The sequence below is a fragment of the Homo sapiens genome, chromosome 6 (genome assembly GCF_000001405.40).
Source record: "Homo sapiens chromosome 6, GRCh38.p14 Primary Assembly".
In the NCBI taxonomy this organism is placed as follows: Eukaryota; Metazoa; Chordata; class Mammalia; order Primates; family Hominidae; genus Homo; species Homo sapiens.
The window spans coordinates 56,174,233-56,196,745 of record NC_000006.12 but is presented as its reverse complement, the minus strand read 5'-3'; the positions used below and the strand labels follow the sequence as shown (position 1 = coordinate 56,196,745).

The 22,513-nt window shown below is 34.8% G+C and overlaps 1 protein-coding gene across 12 annotated transcripts in view; it reads left to right on the top strand.

Moving 5' to 3' along the window:
* COL21A1 (collagen type XXI alpha 1 chain) overlaps positions 1-22,513 on the top strand; it is a 337,539-nt gene that overhangs the window by 197,383 nt on the left and 117,643 nt on the right. For 11 of the 12 annotated variants that reach the window (NR_134849.2, NR_134850.2, NR_134851.2 and 8 more), the window contains 2 exons: positions 14,090-14,215; positions 16,617-17,168. Coding sequence is in view for 9 of the 12 variants with exons in the window: in NM_001318752.2 (NP_001305681.1) it covers positions 14,128-14,215; positions 16,617-17,168 (640 nt within the window). In the remaining 3 variants the exon portion in view is untranslated. Of the gene's footprint in view, positions 1-9,382; positions 9,525-14,089; positions 14,216-16,616; positions 17,169-22,513 lie in introns of those variants that run through there. The other variant, XM_011514926.2, reaches the window with a different exon arrangement.

The following is a 22,513-nucleotide window of genomic DNA, read 5'->3' as shown; positions in this document are numbered from 1 at the left end:
ATTTATCAGAGTGAAGAATTGTATCTGTGTCTTCTTCAATTTCTTTCATCAATGTTTTAGAGTTTTCAATGTACAGGTATTTCACCTCCTTGGTTAAATTTATTCTTGAGTATTTTATTCCTTTTGATGCTATTGTAAATTATATTCCTTTCTTAATTTGTTTTAGGATAGTTCATTATTAATACATAGAAATGGCAACTGACTTTTATATGTTGATTTTGTATCCCACAAGTTTATTGTATGTACTTCTTTTAATACTTTCTTGGTAGAGTCTTTATGGTCTTCTGTAATAAGATTATGTCACATGCTAATAGAGACAATCTTACTTCTTCCTTTCCAATTTGGATGCCTTCATTTCTTTTTCTTGCCTGATTGGTTTGGCTAGGACTTCCAGTGCTATGTTGTAGAGAAGTAGTGAGACTGGGCACCCTTGTTTCTTCCTGATCTTAGAGGAAAAGCTTTCAGCTTTTAACCATTAGTATAATGTTAGCTGTGGATTTGTCATATATGGCTTTTATTATCTTGAAGTTCATTCATTCCATGCCTAATTTGTTGAGTTTTTTGAATTATGAAATGATGGAGAATTTTGTCAGATGCTTTTGTTTTGGTATGTATTTAGATGATCGTATAATTTTATTCTTTGTTTTTAATGTGGTACATCATGTTTATTGATTTACCTATGTTGGACCATCCTTGCATCTCAGGGATAAATCCCACTAGGTCATGCATATGACACTTTGAATGTACTGTTGAATTTAGTTTACTAGTAGGTTATTGAGAAATTTTACATCCATGTTCATCAGGGCCTGTGATTTTTTTTCTTGTAGTGTTCTTGTCTGGCTTTGTTATTAGGGTAAAGCCAGCCTCATAAAATGAGTTTGAAGTATTTTCTTTTCTTTAATTTTTTGGAAGAGTTTGGGGAGAATTGGCATTAATTCTCCTTTTAAAGTCTAATAGAATTCATCATGAAGCTGTCTGCTCCTGGACCTTTTCTGTTGGGAGGTTTTGTTTACTGATTTAATCTCTTTACTAGTTCTAGGTCTGTTAGGATTTTGTATTTCATCATCATTCAGTTTTGGTAAGTTTTAAGTTTCTAGAAATTTATTTATGTTATGCAGTTTGTTAGCATATAATTTTTATAGTAGTCTCATAATTTTTTGTGTCTCTGAACTATCATTTATAATGGCTCCTCTTTAATTATAATTGTATTTATTCAAGTTGTCTCTCTTTTTTTTCTTAGTATTCTAAGTTAACTAAAATATATATTAAAATACTCACAATTCTGCCCCTCTTTCCCTCCCCCACCACATTTGTTTCAGGAAGACAGAGAGACTGGGGCTCAGATTCTTAAAACCAGGGAGATACTATTCCTGATATTGTAGAAATTTCAACACTATTTTTACTTTTGGGAAAAGAACAACCAAAGACAAAAACTTTTAGCACCTAAATACACAAAGTATGGTCTATGGACCAGCAGAATCAGCATCACTTGGGAGCTTGCTAGAAGTTGTTTTAGTACGTTTTCTGTTGCTTGTAAGAGAATACTCAAAACTGCATAATTTATAAAGAAAAAAATTATTTCTTATGGAGGCTGAGAAATCCAAGGTCAAGAGGCCACATCTGGTGAGGCCTCCATGCTTGTGGGGACTCTCTGCAGAGTCACAAGCCCGCAGAGGGCATCACATGGTGAGGGGACTGAGCATGCTAGCTGAGGTCTCTTTTCCTTTTTTCATAAAGCCACCAGTCCCATTCCTATTCTAGTCCATTAATTTATTAATTTATTAATCCACTAATCTGTGAATGGATTAACCCATTCGAAAAGGCAGAGCCCTCATGACCCAATCACCTTTTAAAAGCCCTGCCTCTCAGTACTGCTGCATTAAGGATTAAGTTTTAACATGAATTTTGAGGGGACAAACATTCAAACTGTAGCCAAAATGAAGACCCTTCATCTACAAACTAAAGCTATGTAATCAGTATCTACATTTTAATAAGATCTCTAAGTGATTTTTATACACCTTAACATTTGAGATATGGGAATGCTAAAGGTCACCTGATTACTCTGAGTATCAAGGCTTTATAATTTTTTCGCTTGTAGAAATTCTGAGTTATACTACCCTATTTTGGGTTGCTAATTTACTTCTCTACCAAGGGAATAGGGACTTTTTTTCTTATTTACCATTTTGCATTGCCCCATACTAGAATTTATAAAACTTTGGTGCATGTTAGCATATGAGGAGATTCATTTATTTATTTTTAAAGAATAATTGGTCTCTTCCCCTACAATCTGAAGCTACTGGATTAGGGTTAGGGCTTCCATATGTTTAACACACTCCCTATTCAACTAAGTGTTAAAACTTGATAAGCCTAACTTCATTTGAAGTGTACATAAACATGTGTATAATGAAATATTTATGAAACACACCAGTTTTAATGATTAAATAACATGGTAATAATATGAATTTAGTATCCTTTTGTATCTTCTATTTTAATGATTGTCAATTTAAATTATAATAACATCAGGGAATTAACTTTGCCCAAAAAATCTGAATGAATTACATATAAATAGAAATACTGAGATATTTTTGGTAGAGGAACTTAATAACTTAATTTTGAGGCTTTTGGGAAGAAAGGTGGTGAAAATTTATTAGGACATGTTGTTACCATAAAACAGCACATCCTGGTGATGACTCACCAAAAATGCCTCTCAGCTGGCCATGGTGGCTCACGCCTGTAATCCCAGCACTTTGGGATCATGAGATCAAGAAATCAAGACCATCCTGGCCAATATGGTGAAACCCAGTCTCTACTAAAAATACAAAAGTTAACTGGGCATGGTGTCGCACGCCTGTAGTCCCAGCTAATCGGGAGGCTGAGGGAGGAGAATCGCTTGAGCCTGGGAGGTGGAGACTGCAGTGAGCTGAGATAGCACCACTGCAGTCCAGCCTGGTGAGAGTGAGACTCCTTCTCAAAAAAAAAAAAAAACAAAAAAACCTCCTTTTGTACCTTTATAACTCTTTATGCAGAGGGGTGGGCCTAATTTGGAAATTGACAGTAATGGACTAGTTTTTTTTCATTGAAGTATAATTTATAGACAATAAATTATACAGATATAACACATCTGGTTTAATTGCCTTAGATGAGTTCATATATCTGAATACTGACTTTGCAAATGTAGCCTATGTCTGTTACCCAGGAAGTTTACTTGTGCCACTTTCAGGCAAAGGTTTCCTGATTTCTAACACCATAGATTAGTTTTGCCTGTTTTGGGGCTTCATACAACTAGAAACATACTGTATGCATTATTTTGTGTCTGGCTTCTGTTATTAAATACAATGTGTTTTAAATTTATTCATGTTGTTTCCTATAACAGTTCATGATTTTTTGATTGCTGATTAGCATTTCTTTTTTTAAATTTTTTAATTTTTATTTTTTATTATACTTTAAGTTCTGGGATATATCAACAGAATGTGCAGTTTTGTTACATAGGTATACAAATGCCAGGGTGATTTGCTGCACCCATCAACCTGTCACCTACATTGGGAATTTCTCCTAATGCTATCCCTAGGCCCCCACCCCCTGACAGGCCCTGGTGTGTGATATTACCCTCCCTGGGTCCATGTGTTCTCATTGTTCAACTCCCACTTATGAGTGAGAACATGCGGTGTTTGATTTTCTGTTCTTGGAATAGTTTGCCGAGAATGGTGATTCCCAGCTTCATCTATGTCCCTGCAAAGGACGTGAACTCATCCTTTTTTATGGCTGCATAGTATTCCATGGTGTATATGTGCCACATTTTCTTAATCCAGTCTATCATTGATGGACATTTGGGTTGGTTGCAAGTCTTTGCCATTGTGAATAGTGCTGCAATAAACATACGTGTGCATATGTACCTACAGTAGAATGATTTATAATCCTGGGATTGCTGGGTCAAATGGTATTTCTAGTTCTAGATCCTTGAGGAATCACCACACTGTCTTCCACAATGGTTGAACTAATTTACACTCCCACCAACAGTGTAAAAGCATTCCTATTTCTCCACATCCTCTCCAGCATCTGTTGTTTCTTGACTTTTTAATGATTGTCATTCTAACTGGCATGAGATGGTATCTCATTGTGGTTTTGATTTGTGTTTCTCTAATGACCAGTAATGATGAGCTTTTTTCATATGCTTGTTGGCTGCATAAATGTCTTCTTTTGAGAAATGTCTGCTCTTATCCTTTGTCGACTTTTTGATGGGGTTGTTTTTTTTTCTTGTAAATTTGTTTAAGTTCTATGTAGATTCTGGATATTAGCCCTTTGTCAGTTGGATAGATGGATAGATTTCAAAAATTATCTCCCATTCTGATGGTAGTTTCTTTTTCTTTGCAGAAGCTCTTTAGTTTAATTAGATCCCATTTGTCAATTTTAGCATTTGTTGCCATTGCTTTTGGTATTGTAGACATGAAGTCTTTGCCCATGCCTATGTCCTGAATGGTATTGCCTAGGTTTTCTTCTGGGATTTTTATGGTTTAAGGTCTTATGTTTAAGTCTTTAATCTATCTTGAGTTGATTTTTGTATACGGTGTAACGAAGGGGTCCAGTTTCACTTTTCTGCATATGGCTAGCTAGTTTTCCCAACACCATTTATTAATAGGGAATCTTTTCCCTGTTGCTTGTTTGTGTCAGGTTTGTCAAAGATAAGATGGTTGTAGATGTGTGGTTTTATTTCTGAGGCCTCTGTTCTGTTCCATTGGTCTATATATCTGTTTTGGTACCCGTACCATGCTGTTTTGGTTACTGTAGCCTCGTAGTATAGTTTGGAGTCAGGTAGCATGATGCCTCCAGCTTTGTTCTTTTTGCTTAGGATTGTCTTGGTTATGTGGGCTCTTTTTTGGTTCTATATGAAGTTTAAAGTAGTTTTTTCCAGTTCCGTGAAGAAAAGCAATGGGCAGTGTGGCCATTTTCATGATACTGATCCTTCCTTTCCATGAGCATGGACTGTTTTCCCATTCGTTTGTGTCCTCTCTTATTTCCTTGAGCAGTGGTTTGTAGTTCTTCTTGAAGAGGTCCTTCCCTTGTAAGTTGTATTCCTAGGTATTTTATTCTCTTTGTAGCAATAGTGAATGGGAGTTCACTCATGATTTGGCTCTCTGGATTTTTTTTTTTTTTTTTGAGATAGAGTCTTGCCCTGTCACCCAGGCTGGAGTGCAGTGGTGTGATCTCAGCTCGCTGCAACCTCTGCTTCCCTGGTTCAAGCATTTCTCCTGCCTCAGCCTCCCCGGTAACTGGGATTACAGGCAACTGCCACCACACCCGACTTTTTTTTTTTTTTTTGTATTTTTAGTAGAGATGGGTTTCACCATGTTGGTCAGTCTGGTCTTGAACTCCTGACCTCGTGATCCGCCCACCTCTGCCTCCCAAAGCGCTGGGATTATTGGCTCTCTGTTTGTCTGTTATTGGTGTATGGGAATACTTGTGCTTTTTGCACATTGATTTTGTATCCTGAGACTTTGCTGAAGTGCTTACCAGCTTAAGAAGATTTTGGGCTGAGACAATGGGTTTTTCTAAATACACAATCTTGTCATCTGCAAACTGAGAAAATTCGACTTCCTCTCTTCCTATTTGAATACCCAGTATTTCTTTCTCTTGCCTGATTGCCCTGGCCAGAAGTTCCAATACTATGTTGAAAAGGAATGGTGAGAGAGGGCATCCTTGTCTTGTGACGGTTTTCAAAGGGAATGCTTCCAGTTTTTGCCTATTCAGTATGATATTGGCTGTGGGTTTGTCATAAATAGCTTTACTATTTTAAGATACGTTCCATTGATACCTAGCTTATGGGGATGCTAATATCATGCTAGGTATTAGCATGAAGGGGTGTTGAATTTTGTTGAAGGCCTTTTCTGCACCTATTGAGATAATCATGTGGTTTTTGACATTGTTGCTGTTTATGTGATGAATCACATTTATTGATTTGTGTATGTTGAACCAGCCTTGCATCCCAGGGATGAACCTGATTTGATTGTTGTGGATAAGTTTTTGATGTGCTGCTGGGTTCGGTTTGCCAGTATTTTATTGAGGATTTTTGCGTCGATGTTCATCAGGGATATTTGCCTGAAATTTTCTTTTTTTGTTGTGTCTCTGCCAGGTTTTGGTATCAGGATGATGCTGGCCTCATAAAATGAGTTAGGGAGGATTCCCTCTTTTTCTATTGTTTGGAATTGTTTCAGAAGGAATGATACCAGCTCCTCTTTTTACCTCTGGCAGAATTTGGCTGTAAATCCATCTGGTCCTGGACTTTTTTGGTTGGTAGGCTATTAATTACTGCCTCAATTTCAGAACTTGTTATTGCTCTATTCGGGGATTCAACTTTTTCCTGGTTTAGACGTGGGAGGGTGTATGTGTCCAGGAATTTATCCATTTATTCTAGATTTTCTAGTTTATTTGCGTAGACATGTTTATAGTAGTCTCTGATGGTAGTTTGTATTTCTGTGAGATCAGTGGTGATATCCCCTATATCATTTTTTATTCCATCTATTTGATTCTTCTCTTTTCTTCTTTATTAGTCTTGCTAGCAGTCTGTCTATTTTGTTGATCTTTTCAAAAAACCAGCTCCTGGATTCATTGATTTTTTGAAGGGTTTTTTGTGTCTCTATTTCCTTCAGTTCTGCTCTGCTCTTAGTTATTTCTTGTCTTCTGCTAGCTTTTGAATTTGTTTCTTCATGGTGTCGATGGTCTTTACAATTGTGTATGTTTTTGCAGTGGTTGCTACCAGTTTTTCCTTGCCATGTTTAGTGCTTCCTTCAGGAGCTCTTGTAAGGCAGACCTGGTGGTGATAAAATCTCTCAGCATTTGCTTGTCTCTAAAGGATTTTATTTCTCCTTAGCTTATGAAGCTTAGTTTGGCTGGATATGAAATTCTGGGTTGAAAATTCTTTTCTTTAAGAATGTTGAATATTGGCCCCCACTCTCTTCTGGCTTTGAGGATTTCTGCTGAGAGATCCACTGTTAGCCTGATGGGCTTCTGTTTATGGGTAACCTGACCTTTCTCTCTGGCTGCCCTTAACATTTTTTTCTTCATTTCAACCTTGGTGAATCTGACGATTATGTGTCTTGGGGTTGCTCTTCTCGAGGAGTATCTTTGTGGTGTTCTCTGTATTTCCTGAATTTGAATGTTGGCCTGTCTTGCTAGGTTGGGGAAGTTCTCCTGGAAAATATCCTGAAGTGTGTTTTCCAGCTTGGTTCCATTCTCCCTGTCACTTTCAGGTACATCAATCAAATATAGATTTGGTCTTTTCACATATTCCCATATTTCTTGGAGGCTTTATTCATTCCTTTTTATTCTTTTTTCTCTAATCTTGTCTTTTCACTTTATTTCATTAAGTTGATCTTCAATTTCTGATATCCTTTCTTCTGCTTGATTGATTCAGCTATTGATACTTGTTTATGCTTCATGAAGTTCTCGTGCTGTGTTTTTCAGCTCCATCAGGTCATTTATATTCTTCTCTAAACTGGTTATTCTAGTTATCAATTCATCTAACCTTTTTTCAAGGTTCTTAGCTTCCTTACATTGGGTTAGAACATGCTCCTTTAGCTTGAAGGAGTTTGTTATTACCCACCTTCTGAAGCCTACTTCTGTCAATTCGTCAAATTCATTCTCTGCGCAGTTTTGTTCCCTTGCTGGAGAAGAGTTGTGATCCTTTGGAGGAGAAGAGGTGTTCTGGTTTTTGGAATTTTCAGCATTTTTGCACTGGTTTCTCCCCATCTTTGTTGATTTATCTGCCTTTGGTCTTTGATGTTGGTGACCTTCAGATGGGGTCCTTGAGTGGACGTACTATTCTTTTCTGTTTGTTAGTTTTCATTCTGACAGTCAGGAAACTGTCTGCAGCAGGTCCACTGGAGTTTGCTGGAGGTCCATTCCACATCCTGTTTGCCTGGGTATCACCAGTGGAGTCTGCAGAACAGCAAAGATTGCTGCCTGTTCTTTCCCCTTTCCAGGGAAGCTTTGTCCCAGAGGGGCACCTGCCAGATGCCAGCCAGAGCTCTTCTCTATGAGGTGTCTGTCGGTCCCTACTGGGGACCCAGGATAAACGGGCGTCAGGGACCCACGTGAGGAGGCAGTCCGACCCTTAGCAGAGCTCGAACGCTGTGCTGGCATGTCCACTGATCTCTTCAGAGCCGTCAGGCAGGGAAATTTAAGTCTGCTGAAGCTGTGCCCACAGCTGCCCTTCCCCCAGGTGCTCTGTCCAGGGAGATGGGAGTTTTATCTATAAGTTCCTGACTGGCGCTGCTGCCTTATTTTCAGAGATTCCCTGCCCAGAGCTGCTGAGTAGTATTTCATTGTATGAATATATCACACAACTTGTATATTGATTGTCCTGTTGATAGCATTTGGGTTATTTTTAGTTTGGAATTATTATGAATAAAACTACTGTAAACATTGCTAAAGTCTTTTGCTGTGGACACACAATTTCATTTCTCTAGGTTACATATCTAGCAGAAAAATCATTGGCCATAGTTTAACCTTATAAGAAACTTTACCTAACAGTTCTCTAAAGTGATTACATCTGTTTTCAATCTCACCAACAATGAATGAATTCCAATTTCTTCACATATACATGTAAACATTGGATATTATGTCTTTTAATTTTAGCTATTTTTGTAGGTGTGAAATCATACCTTACTGTGGTTTTACTGTGCATTTCCCTGATGGCTAGTGATGATGAGTACTATATTATGTGCTTATTGGCCATTTCTGTATCTTCTTTTGTAATATGTCTGTTCAAGACCTTTTACTCATTTAAAAAAATTGTGTTGTTTTTCTTTTTATTATCTATATGTTTTCTGATATGAGTCATTTGTCAGAAATATTTAATGCAAACATTGGCTTGCATTCTTAAATGGTGTCTTTTAAGGAATGGAAATGTTTAATTTTGATGAAATCTCATGTACTTATTTTAAAACTGCTAGTGGTTTCTGTGTCCTGAGAAATATTCATCTTAATCCAAAGTTGTGAAGATACTCTCTTATGTTTTTTCTTTGAAGACTTATAGTTTTAGTTTTTACATCTAGATCTATGTTCCATTTAATTTTCTTATGTGAAATGAGGTAGGAGTCCAGGTTCATTTTATTCCATGTGTTTATTCAGTTGATTCAGCAATGTTTGTTGAAAAGACTTTCCTTTTCTATCCAACTACTTTGACATTTTTGTTGAAAATCAATCGACCATGTAAGTGTGGGTCTGTTACCGAAACTCTATTGTGTTCTGTTCTATGCCTATCTTTATGTCAATATAGTACCATGCTTTCTTGATTTCTGCAGCTTATAGTAAGTTGCTATGGTTTGGATGTTTGCCCCCTCTGAAACTCATGTTGAAACTTAATCTCCAGTGTAAAGGTACTGGGAGGTGGGTCCTTTAAGAGGTGATTGGGTCATGAGGGTTCTGTTCTCACCGTTAGATACATCCTTTTCATGGGTTAGTTTATTAGTGGGTTACCATGGGAGTGGGTTAGTTATCAGGAAAGTAGTTCTGTTATAAAAAGCCAGGTAGGTTCTCTCTCCTGAGCCCCCTCACCATGTGGTACCCTGCACCACATTGAGACTCTGCAGAAAACCCCCACCAGCTGTAAGGTCCTCACCAGATTTCGCCCTTAGACTTTGGACGTTCCAGCCTTCAGAACTATAAAAAATAAATGTATTTTCTTTATAAATTACTCCATCTCAGGTATTGAGTTATAACAACAGAAAGCAGACTGACATAAGTCAGTATCAGTTAATATCAGTTCTCCAACTTTGTTATTAAGAGAGTTCTTTTTCAAGACTGTTCCAATTCAAAATCATTTGCATTTTATATCTGTTTTAGAATATTTGTTAATTTAAAAAATTGGGATTTTGTTGAATCTATAGAACATATGTGGAGGGTGGACATGTTAATAATATTGAGTCTTTTAATTCTGAATATGGATCTCTCCATTTATTTGGTTTCTTTAATTTTGCAATGTTTCAGTACGGGGGTCTTTCCATATTTCATTAGCTTCATTTCCACATTTATAATACTTTTGATACTATTGAAAATGGTATTTTTTTCCCAATAAAGAAACCATTAATCTTGTGTCTTGTGACCTTGCTAAATTCACTTTGTTCTACTATTGTTTTTGTAGATTCCACTTTCTATGTAGATTATCACGTTTTCCATAAAAAATGATGGTTTTATTTTTTCCTTTATAATCTTTACATGTTTTATTTCTCATTTGTGCCCATGGCTGTAGCTAGAACTATCCTTGTACATTTTTGAATAGAAATGGTATGAGAATGTATCCTTAGCTACTTACTGATTTAAGAAGGAAAGAATTTAGTATTTCACAACTCAATGTGATGTTGTATGTCGATTTTTTTATAGACAGCATTCACATTCATAGGTTAAGTCCTACTCTTAGTTTGCTGAAAGTTTTATCATAAATGAGTATTAAATTTTGTTAGGAACTTTTGATGCTCTACCAATAAATTGAGATGTTCATGTGATTTTTTTTCTAGTCTCTTACCAAAGTACATTATATAAGTTGAATTTTGAGTGTTAAACCAATCTTGCATCTCTCTAATAAATCCCACATGGTCATGATATTTTAAATTATATTGCTAGATTTAATTAGCTAGTATTTTGTTTTAGATTTTTATATCCTTGTTCATAAAGAATAATGGAAAATTTACTTGTATGCTAAATCAATGGACTGTAATTTTCTTACTTTGTAATATCTTTGTCTAGGTTTTCTTTTTAATTAGGGTTATGTTGGCCTCATAATAAAAATTGGGGGGAGTTCACTTCTCCTTTATTTTCATTTAATTCCACCAAAACAAATAGTTTTATTTTATTTTTTTCCCTTGACTGTTTTGTAGAAATTGTTGGAAGAAATTACTGGTGAAGCTATCTGGACCAGGAGTTTTCTTTGTGTGAATGTTTTTGATTAATAATTTAACTTCTTTAACAAATAATTGGACCAATTTCAATAAATAGTGTTTTTCAAAGACTTTGTTCAGGCCGGGCGCGGTGGCTCACGCCTGTAATCCCAGCACTTTGGGAGGCCGAGGCGGGTGGATCATGAGGTCAGGAGATCGAGACCATCCTGGCTAACAAGGTGAAACCCCGTCTCTACTAAAAATACAAAAAATTAGCCGGGCGTAGTGGCGGGCGCCTGTAGTCCCAGCTACTCGGGAGGCTGAGGCAGGAGAATGGCGTGAACCCGGGAAGCGGAGCTTGCAGTGAGCTGAGATTGCGCCACTGCAGTCCGCAGTCCGGCCTGGGCGACAGAGCGAGACTCCGTCTCAAAAAAAAAAAAAAAAAAAAGACTGTTCATTTCGCCTGTCCACTTACCCTTTTAATGTTTATACAATCTGTAGTGGTGCTTTCTATTTGAATACTGACTTAGGCAATTATTTATGTTTTCTCTGTTGTTTCTTGGTTATAATTACTAAGGCATATCAATATATTTATTTGTCCAAAGAATTAACTTTTTAATTATTTATTTTTTAATTGTCTTTCAAATTTATATTTCATAGTTTTTTATACCTTTTCTACTTTTCTACTTTTTTTCTACTTTTTTATTGTAGTTTTTCTAGCTTCTTAAGGTGGAAGCTTAGATATTGGTTTCTTTTTTTTAATATATGCTTTTAAAGCTAAAATTTCTCTGTAAGTGCTGCTTTAGCTGTATCACAAAATATTTGATTTAAAAAATTATTCAGTTTGAAATATTTAAAAACTTTTCCTTTGACTTTTTAAAACTCATGGATTATTTAGAAGTATGTTGCTTAATTTCAAAGTATTTTAGGACTTTCACTTCTGAAAATCTATAGGACAACTACAGATCCTACAGATAATAGAAAGATGATAAGTGGACAGGTGAAATAGCCAAAGTCCTAGAAAAATACTATTTATTGAAACTGGTCCAATTATCTATTAATAAGTTACATTTTTAATAAAAAGCATTTCCGCAAAACTTCATATCCAGATGCCATCGCCAATATTTTCTAATTAAATGCCCTTTGGTCAAGGAACATAATCTGTATGGTTTCAATTTTTTGAAATCTGAGACTTGTTTTCTCTCCAGCATATTGTCTTTTTGGTGACTGTTTCATATGCATTACAAAACAATGTGTCTTCTTCTGTTGTTAGTTGGAGTGTTTTGTAAATATTAACTAGGTGAAACTGGTTAATAATAGTGTTGTCCCAACCTTCTGTTCCACTACTAATTTTTTCTGTTCTAATTAAATAATACTGAGGACTGGATATTAAAACTTCACATTATTTTTAATGTGTCTCTGCTTATTTTTTTTCATTTTTTGTTTCATATATTTAGAAGCTTTAATATTAGATGTCTACACATTTAGGATTTTTATCTCTTTCTGATTGAATGCTCAGTTTATTACCAGAAAATTTCTGTCTAAAATTCTTACTGCTGTCCCTCTGTAGGTAATGTATCACTTTTCCTCTGGCCACTTTTAGGAATTTTATATTTTATTTTGATTTTCAGTTGATTGAATATGATGTATGTAGGCATGATTTACTTTGTGTCTCGCTTGGGGTTTGCTGAAGTTCTTTGATCCGAGAATTGTGGCTTTCATTAATTCGGAAAATTTTTGGCCATGTCTTTTCAAATATTTCTTCATTCTCTCCTTTTCACCAGAAAAATTTACTTATATGCTAAATCAAGATCACTTGATATTGTTCCATAAGTTCTAGATGCTCTATTCCTTTTATCATGTTTTTATGCCTTGGGGTTTCATTTTTTGATAATTTCTATTGACTTATCCTCAAGTTTACTTATCTTTTCCTCCAGTGGATGCAGGTAAACCCGTTGCATAAACCATTTTCTGATGTTTGTTTAACTGCAAGCATTTTTCTTTGTATCTTTTTGTATAGTTTTCATCTGCCTTCTGAAATTTCCCACATCTTTGTACGTGTTTTCCATCTTATTCACTAGATCCTTTAATGTATTTATCACTGCCATTTTACAAACACTTTTTGCTACTTCTGATATTTAGATAAACTTTGGATCTGCTTATGGTGTTTTTCTCCTGATCAGGAATAAAAATTTCTTGCTTCTTTTCAAGTCTTGGCCACTGTTTTATATTTGAGGAAGTCTCTGGGTACCTGGAGAGGAAGAGGGACAGACTCTCTCTAGGCTGTTCTATACTGTTGCCAACTTTCTATGGACTACTTATCTACTCCGTATATTTAGTTAAGGCTCACCAGAAGGAACTGCTGAATGAAGGAATGCTTGTTGCGTGGCAGAGACTCCTCAGATTTCCAATCTGTTACACCAGCTTTGAGTGATTTTTTATATGCTGTGGCAAATTCCTTCTCATCAGTATTCCCTTTCTGCCAGAGATTAAAGCAGTTGTGAATCATTTCTATATGACAAAGGGTTAATAACTTCTGGAATTTGGTTCTTTTAGGTTTCTTTAAATTATTTCATTTCTGCTGGGCTTAAAAAGCATATGAATTTGTACTTTATCTGGTATGTACTCATTGTTGTGAATGACAATCTCTTGCAACTTTCTACATTCTAACCAGAAATGAAGTTCTTGGACTTATTTTAGATGGTGTATGAAAACTATGTAACTGAGTCTTTATGAATTAAATAAAACAGGTCTTAATGTTTACAATTACATCTTATTTTAAAAATTAAATTCCATCAGCTGTATCTTAGACATATTTTCACTAAATACTCTTTGAGTGTCCCTTAAATACAAACCCACGTTTAAAAGAAAAATGTTTGCTAATATTCAGATAGTAAAAAGAATGAGATAAGGTTCTACAGGCTACGCCCAAAGGATAAATTTGAGTAAATATTTTGCAAAAAGCTCAAATTTTAGAAAATGTGTATGCTTTTCTGAAGACAATTAAGAATTAAGGTTTATCATGGTCTTTAGCCACTATTCATTGTCCTCCTGCATTAATATATTTAACATTTGGCTGTTTTAAACAGATTTAAGTTAATTCTAATAGTCACAAAATTAGCTGTACTTCAATTGGCTCTTGTTTCAAAATGTAAATGTATAATGGCTAGATGTTGACTTTAATTAATATATTTAACTTGCCTTTTTTTTCCCCCTAGGAATCCTAAAACCAAAATATTAGAACGAAAACAGAAACATGGCTCACTATATTACATTTCTCTGCATGGTTTTGGTGCTGCTTCTTCAGAATTCTGTGTTAGCTGAAGATGGGGAAGTAAGATCAAGTAAGAACTATCAGCATTGTCCTTTTTTGTTATCAACAAATTAATCTGGAAATTAAACTAGGGGAGTTCAAGTAATGGTTTTAAGGATCTCATTCTTACTGTCTTTGATTCTGTAACTCCCTAAAATAAATGAATTGCTATGTTACTCATTAACTGAGAAGAAAAGCTTCCCTCAGAGATAATTTTGAGATGACTCTATGGCAATAGTTTATTCAATTAACACATCAAGCTTTGGAACAAACAGTCTGGTATTGAGTCCATGTTCAGCCACTTTTGAACTGCATGATAGGAAGATAAAGAAAGCCTTCTAGATTGGTTATCAGGACTGAATGAGATAATGCATGTCAAAGGCTTAGCACAGTACATCTCAGTGAATGTTATTATTGCTTGTAGGAAAGCTTGCCTATAGAGATAAAGAGCTATATTAATTATAGTTCTGTTACCCAGACTATCATTTAGAGATAGCACACTTTTTTTTAAAAAAAAGTTTGCTTATGTTCACATTTTAAAACTCATAAGCATCCTACTATAAATTAACTAAGGTCTCTATAAAAGTTAAATGAGATGGTTTGACAATTTGATTCAACTTGGCTTAAAATTTATTAATACAATAATATTTAAAGCTTGCTTAACACTTCTATAGTTTAATTCATGCAATCACTGTATAATGTGGATGCCCTTTCCTTTGTTTTTTTCTTGGGTGGAAAACGGGATTTTAATAAGTTAAGGGGCTTACCTAGCATCATACAGCTTGTGAGGGCAGTAACTAGTATTTGAACCATGTTTTTGCTCTTCAGTCCCATTCCTTTTCTATGATGTCATTCATCTCTCTAAGGAAGAGGTTCTCAGGATGGATATTATGTCTAGGGCTTATAAATGGCATTATTTGCTTGTATGCCCATGCTGTTGACTAACTTTACAGTTATGAAATACATGCTCTGTGGCCCTGTGACAGGGAGAAGGGTAGGAAGGGCCAAGAATAACCCTCTTAGAGTGAAAACCACTGAATCAGGTGGCACACAAACACTAACAGCTTCAGACAACAATGAGTCTCAGTATTTAGGAAGGGCCAACATTGAAAAGCTCTGCCAACAAGCTTTTCTATCCTTTCGTCTCCCTGCAAAAAAAAAACAAAAAACAAAAAACAATAAAAGCATAACCCTTTAATCCTAGTCCATCCAGCTTCCAAGCTTCCAAAAATAACAGAAAAATTGCATTCCCTTGGGTTAGGAAGTTTGCCTCTGGACAGAACTCCATTTCTGCTGTCCCTACTTTGACCTCTGGCAGTGGCCGCCATGGCAGAGGTTGTTGGAATTGTGTCCCTTACACCTTCTGAGGATACTACCACCTGCAGTAGAACACTTTAGGAATAATGTCATAATCACAGACACATTTTTGAGACAAATCCATATTTTGGCAATTCTTTTTATTTTTGGAACTTCTTGACTGCTATAAATTTAGGAGGGGATGGCAACCTAACTGTGGAAGGTCAGGAAAGGTTTTATGATAAAGCCGACAGGCAATCAGGGATCTGAAACAAGAGTATTAGTCAGGTGAAGAGGAAGACATTCTAATAAAAGGGAAGAGCAACTGCAAAGGCCCAGAGTTGGGAGACTGACACAGACTAAAAGATAAACTGGTTCGTTGGGGCAATTCCAATAGTTTGGAATGGCTAACAGAATGCGCAGAAAAGAACAGCTATATTTGTCTTCTTCTCTAACTTCTGTTCTTAAAGCAGCAATAATAGTTATTATTTATAGCCTGTATGATAATGAGATAATTTTATATTCATGCTTTGTTTTACATTTAGCATGTTAGCATTTGTAACAGGGGAAGTCTTTTTCTTTCCACAACTGCTTATAACTTGTTCAAATGTAACTTGCACCAAAGATGGTATTTTTTTTTCCCCAAAAGGACCTTAGGATGTGTTGACCAGATGTGTTTCCTGGTATCTTGAAACAAGAATCTCTATCTCTACTAAGCAAGGAATAGCTTTATACCTTTAACCATAGATTGTTAGTACAAGCTAATGCTCTGACATTATTCACTGAATATGAGACATCAGACCTTTAGAAACTCATCTTGGATATAATGCAAGAGTTGATTCATTGGGTGATCTTGGTTCATTTAACTTTTATCAACTATTAATATATCAAAGATGAAATTTTATTGGTTAGCTAAGTCCTGGAGTTGGTAGAAAATTTGTTTTTAATTTTTTTCTCCCTATTCACTGGCTTATATTTTTGTAATATTTCACGTTAGCATTAAGCTAAACATATTTCACAGACAATTTAAAATAAGCAATGATATTAGTGTATAGCTGAAACTCATATATTTAAAATCTCTCCCTTTTTGCTTTTTATATAAAAGATGTGCTATGATGGTTTTCTTTTGCACTTAGGTTGTCGTACTGCTCCGACAGATTTAGTTTTCATCTTAGATGGCTCTTATAGTGTTGGCCCAGAAAACTTTGAAATAGTGAAAAAGTGGCTTGTCAATATCACAAAAAACTTTGACATAGGGCCGAAGTTTATTCAAGTTGGAGTGGTTCAATATAGTGACTACCCTGTGCTGGAGATTCCTCTCGGAAGCTATGATTCAGGAGAACATTTGACGGCAGCAGTGGAATCCATACTCTACTTAGGAGGAAACACAAAGACAGGGAAGGCCATCCAGTTTGCGCTCGATTACCTTTTTGCCAAGTCCTCACGATTTCTGACTAAGATAGCAGTGGTACTTACGGATGGCAAATCCCAAGATGACGTCAAGGATGCAGCTCAAGCAGCAAGAGATAGTAAGATAACATTATTTGCTATTGGTGTTGGTTCAGAAACAGAAGATGCCGAACTTAGAGCTATTGCCAACAAGCCTTCGTCTACTTATGTGTTTTATGTGGAAGACTATATTGCAATATCCAAAATAAGGGAAGTGATGAAGCAGAAACTTTGTGAAGGTAAGCCTTAAAATGCCTTAATATAATTTGGAAGCAATTAATAATTGTGCTTTTTACATTTTGATATAATTTCTTCATTAACACTGGTGTAAATTGTTATATTTAATGTCAATTATAATGTTACAACATTTATAATGTTATAAATGTTATATTTATACTGTGAGCATAAATTTTTTGTGTTGTATGTATTTAGGATAAATTTTGGTTTTTAGAAATAAGTTACAAATCTATGGAAAATACAATATTTTGTAACATTTATTATTTTTCCTTTCAATTATAACATGTCTATTGTAGAAATTGTAGAAAAAGGCACAAAGAATAAAAATATATATAAATCACACATAATCATATCACCCCGTTAATGAGTTTTTCTGTACTTTACATTCTAGTTTTTTTCCTTTTTTCCCCAGTGTGTTTTAGTTTATCCTTCTGCCTAAATCAAGATACTATTGCATATATAATTTCATACTTTATTTTTGTATGATATACTCTTGTGTATACAATTTTTATACTCTATTCATAGGATAGCAGACAATTTCCTACTGTAATTTATTTTAAATTTTTCCTGTTTTTGTACATTTAGTTTATTTCTAAGTTTTGCTAATATAAATGACAAAAATGAATATTCTTGTACATAATTCTGAGCTAGAATTTCATTATTTCTTCAGAAAAAAGCTTCAAATTACTGACATTTTTAAAGTTGGGGGAAAACGTTAAAATTGCACTTTAAAAAGCTTAACTTCCCTTTCACAGAACATTTGAAAATAACAGTTTATTAATTATGTTTATATCATTTCATAAAATCTAACTTCATGTTCATGATAACTGCATGGTATGGGAAGGTCCCAGTTTTGGTAAATATTAATCCTATTAGGGCATAGATATGCTAATATTCAGATTATTTTAGGGGAGAGTAATTTTTTGTATCTCTTATTTTTAATATTATAGGCATTTAGTGTACCATATTAAAGTAATATTCATATAAAGTGAATATTAGTTTGTCTACAAAAACTCCCAAAGTGGGTGGCTTCACATTTGACAAAAAAATCCTGTGTGTTTATGAGTTAGGAAACAAATTATATCATTAATTCCTCTGTTTTCTTCATATTTGCTTGTGGGATATGGTAGAGAAAAACTTTTTAAATTTTCATATTTAAGAGAATATAGAAAATTAAACGTCTTCTTCCATGAAACTTTAAATAAAGGTACTGTAATAAGTACAAATCACCACCATAGTTCTTCTTTTTATGAATCTCTAGTAGTTAGATTTTGTTGACATTTATCATACTGAACAGGCCAATGGGATTTAAATTTTTAATATGTGGTCATATTAGTTAGAATTCTTTGATTTTGAAGCCAGGTATATTTCATTCTTAAAACAGACTTTTCCTGGAGAAATTTCACTTATCATTCATTTTTATCTTTAAATATAAATGTAACTGATAAAATGTTTGTTCAATATTTGCTTCAGAGACTTTTTCTGTGGATCTGTATTTTGGTAAATGCATTCTATTTTAATGATTCTAACTACACATGAAAGAGTAGATGTGCTTAGAAGAGTTAAACACTCTTTTAGTTAAAATGTATCATCTATAAACACAATCAAAATTGAAATCTTGCCAAATATATTTTCATCCACACTCGAAAAGATATAAATAATTTATGTGTCTAATCAGTTCACATATCTGTTGCACAATAGCCATCTTTTAAAATGTTTTTGAAAATGCACTTATGGAATTTATATGGATGTTTTCTGCACTCGACTTTTTTTTTTTTTTTTTTTTTTGAGGCAGAGTCTCGCTCTGTCACCCAGGCTGGAGTGCAGTGGTGCAATCTCGGCTCACTTCAAGCTCCGCCTCCCGGGTTCATGCCATTCTCCTGCCTCAGCCTCCCGAGTAGCTGGGACTACAGGCGCCCACCACGCCCGGCTAATTTTTTCTATTTTTTAGTAGAGAACGGGTTTCACCGTGTTAGCCAGGATGAATCTCTATCTCCTGACCTCATGATCCGCCCGCCTCAGCCTCCCAAAGTGCTGGGATTACAGGCGTGAGCCACCGCGCCCAGTCTGCACTTGACATTTTATACTGTATTAGAGTATGATTAATGCATTAAACTAAAACATTGCTATATTACAACAGCCACAAACCATGTAATCTGTATTTGAATCATTTGATAAATTCACATGCTTTTTCTTTGACACATACTTAACTTCTATGTTGAAGTGTTAACATGTAGGATGACCATTTCCTAATACTGTTTATTTTTATACTCTGCTGTAGTTGAATCACAACAAAATATTATTGAGTTAAATAATATTTACCACAGTTTATTCCATCTTTATGGACCTATTATTTCTCTGGAAGAGTTGTCTCTAATACTCTCCTTTCTCTGATAGGTGATGATTCCTTTATCTGTGTAAAAGACTTGTGCTGCTGCTGCAGCTACTACTGCTAGTACTACTACTACTACTACTTCTACTACTACCACTTCCTCTTCTACTACTACTTCTTTTTCTACTACTACTTCTACTACTACTTCCTCCTCCTCCTCTTCTTCTTCCTCCTCCTTCTCCCTCCTCCTTCCTCCTCCCTCTTCCTCCCTGCTCCTGCCTCCCTCATTCCTTCCTCCTCCCTCCTCCTCCTTCCTCCTCCCCCTTCCTCCCCCTTCCTCCCCTTTCCTCCCTTTCCTCCCCCTTCCTCCTCTTTCCTCCCCTTTCCTCTCCCTTCATTCTTCTTCTTCATTTTTCTCTTTCCCCCTCATATAAAACACATTAACATGAAACCTAGTCTTCTAACAAATCTTTAAGTGTACAGTATTGTGAATCATAAGCACAATGTTGTACAGCATATCTTTGGAACTTTTTCATCTTGCTTGACTGAAACCTCCCTCCTTCCTTCCCTCCCTCCTTCTCTTCCTTCCTTCCTTTCTTCCTCCTTCCCCCCCTCCCTCTTTTCCTTCCTCTTTCTTTCTTTCTTTTTTTTGGTAATGGCCAGCCTAACATGTATGAGGTAACATTTCATTGTAGTATTGATTTGCATTTCTCTGATGATTAGTGATGTTGGACATTTTTCATATACCTGTGGCCATTTGTGTGTCATTTTTGGAGAAATGTTTATTTAAGTCCTCAATAAAATTCCTTAATCAGTTTTTTTTTTGTTGCTGAGTTAGAGTTTATTATTTATTTTGAATGTTAACCTCTTATCAGATATATGGTTTGCAAATATTTTATCCCACTTCATAGATTGTCTTTTTACAGAGTTTTTTTTCTCCTTTGCTGCACAGAAGCTTTTTAGTTTGCTGTAATCCCAGTTGTCTATTTTTGCTTTTTTTGTTGCCTGTGATTTTGGAATAAATCCAAGAAATCATTACGAGGCTGATGTTATGAAGCTTTTCCTAGTTTTCTTTTAGAAATTTTATAGTTTCAGATCTTATGTTTAAGTCTTTATTTTGAGTTGTTTTTTGTGTATGGTGTAAAATAAGGGTCCAAAGTTATTCTTTTGCATGTGGATATCCGGTTTTCCCAGCACTATTGATTGAAGAGATCCTTTCCCCGTCGGGCAGTCTTACCACCCTTGTCAAAGATAATTTCATTGATGCATGCAAGAGTGTTTTCTGGGCTCTCTATTCTGTTCCATTTGTCTATATGTTTGTTTTTATGCCTTTACCATACTGTTTTGATTACTCTAGCTTTGCAATATATTTTGAAATCAGGAAGTGTGAGGCCTCCAGCTTAGTTTTTGTTTCCCAAGATTGTTTTGACTGTTTGAGGTCTTTTGAGGTTTCATATAAATTTTAGGAATGCTTTTTCTACTTCTATAAAAAACGTTATTGGGATTTTTATAGGGATTGCATTGAATCTGTAGATCAAGTTAGGCAGTATGGACTTTTTAAATAATATTGTCTACCAATCCATGAACACAAGATATATTTCCATTTATTCCTTCTTCAGTTTCTTTTATCAATGTTTTGTAGTTTTCAGTGTACAAGTTTTTGATTCTTTGGTTAAGTTTATTTCTAAGTATTTTATTTTTATGTTTTATAAATGAGATTATTTTCTTAATTTTCTTTTTAAATTGTTGTTACTGAATAGAAACACAACTGATTTTTATATGTTGAATTTGTATTCTCCAAATTTGCTTAATTGGTTTCTTCTAACCATTTTTTTTGGCATGGAGTCTTTTATGTATAATCATTAGGGTTTTCTATGTTTATGATCATGCTATCTGTGAACAGAGATAATTTTATTTCTTTTGTGATTTGAATGCCTTTTATTTCTTTTCTTGCCTAATTCCTCTGGCTAGTACAATGTTGAATAGAAGTGGTGAAATTAGGTATCTTTGTCTTGTTCCTCATCTTAGAGGAAAAGCTTTTAACATTTTATCATTGAGTGTGATGTTAGCTGTGAACTTTTCAAATATGGTCTTTATTATGTTAAAGTAGTTTCCTTCTATTCCTTACTTGTTGAGTGCTTTTATCATAAAATAGTGCTGATTTTTGTCAATTATTTTTCTGCCTCCATTGAGATGATCATGTTATCTTTTCCTTCATTCTGTCAATGACACATTTATTGATTTTATATGTCAAACTCTTTCATCCTGTGGATAATTCCCATTTGGTCATGGTGTATGATGTTTTCGATGTGCTGTTAAATTCAGTTTGTTAGTGTTTTATTGGGGATATTTACATCTATATTCATCAGGGATATTGGCTTGTAGTTTTATTTTATTATGGTATCTTTTTCTGGCTTTGGTATCAGGTTAATGCTGGCCTTATAAAAATAGTTTAGAAGTGTTTACTCCTCTTCAATTTTTTGAAAGATCTTAAGAAAGATATTAATTCTTCTTTAAATGTCTGGTAGAATTCACCACTGAAGCCACCTGGTACTAGGCTTTTATTGTTGGGGTGTTTTGATTACTGATTTAATTTCCTTTAATCTCTAGTTATAGGTATGTTCATATATTCTATTTATTCATGTTTCAGTTTTGGTAGGTTATATGTTCTAGGAATTTATTCATTTCTTCTAGGTTACCAATTTGTTGATATATAGTCGTTCATAGTGGTCACTTAAAATCCTTTTTATTTCTGTGGCATCAATTGTAATATCTCTTCTTTCACTTCCTGTTTTGAGTCTTCTCTGTTTTTACTTAATTTAGTTAAAGGTTTGTCAATTTTGTTGATTTTTCCAAAAAAGCAACTCTTAGCTTTGTTGACTTCTTTCCATTTTCTATTTTATTTATTACTGCTTAAATCTAAATTATTTTTTTCCTCCTGCTAACTTCGGGCTTAGTTTGTCTTTTTTTTCTGTAGGTCCTTGAGGTATAAAGTTGTTTATTTGATTATTTGAT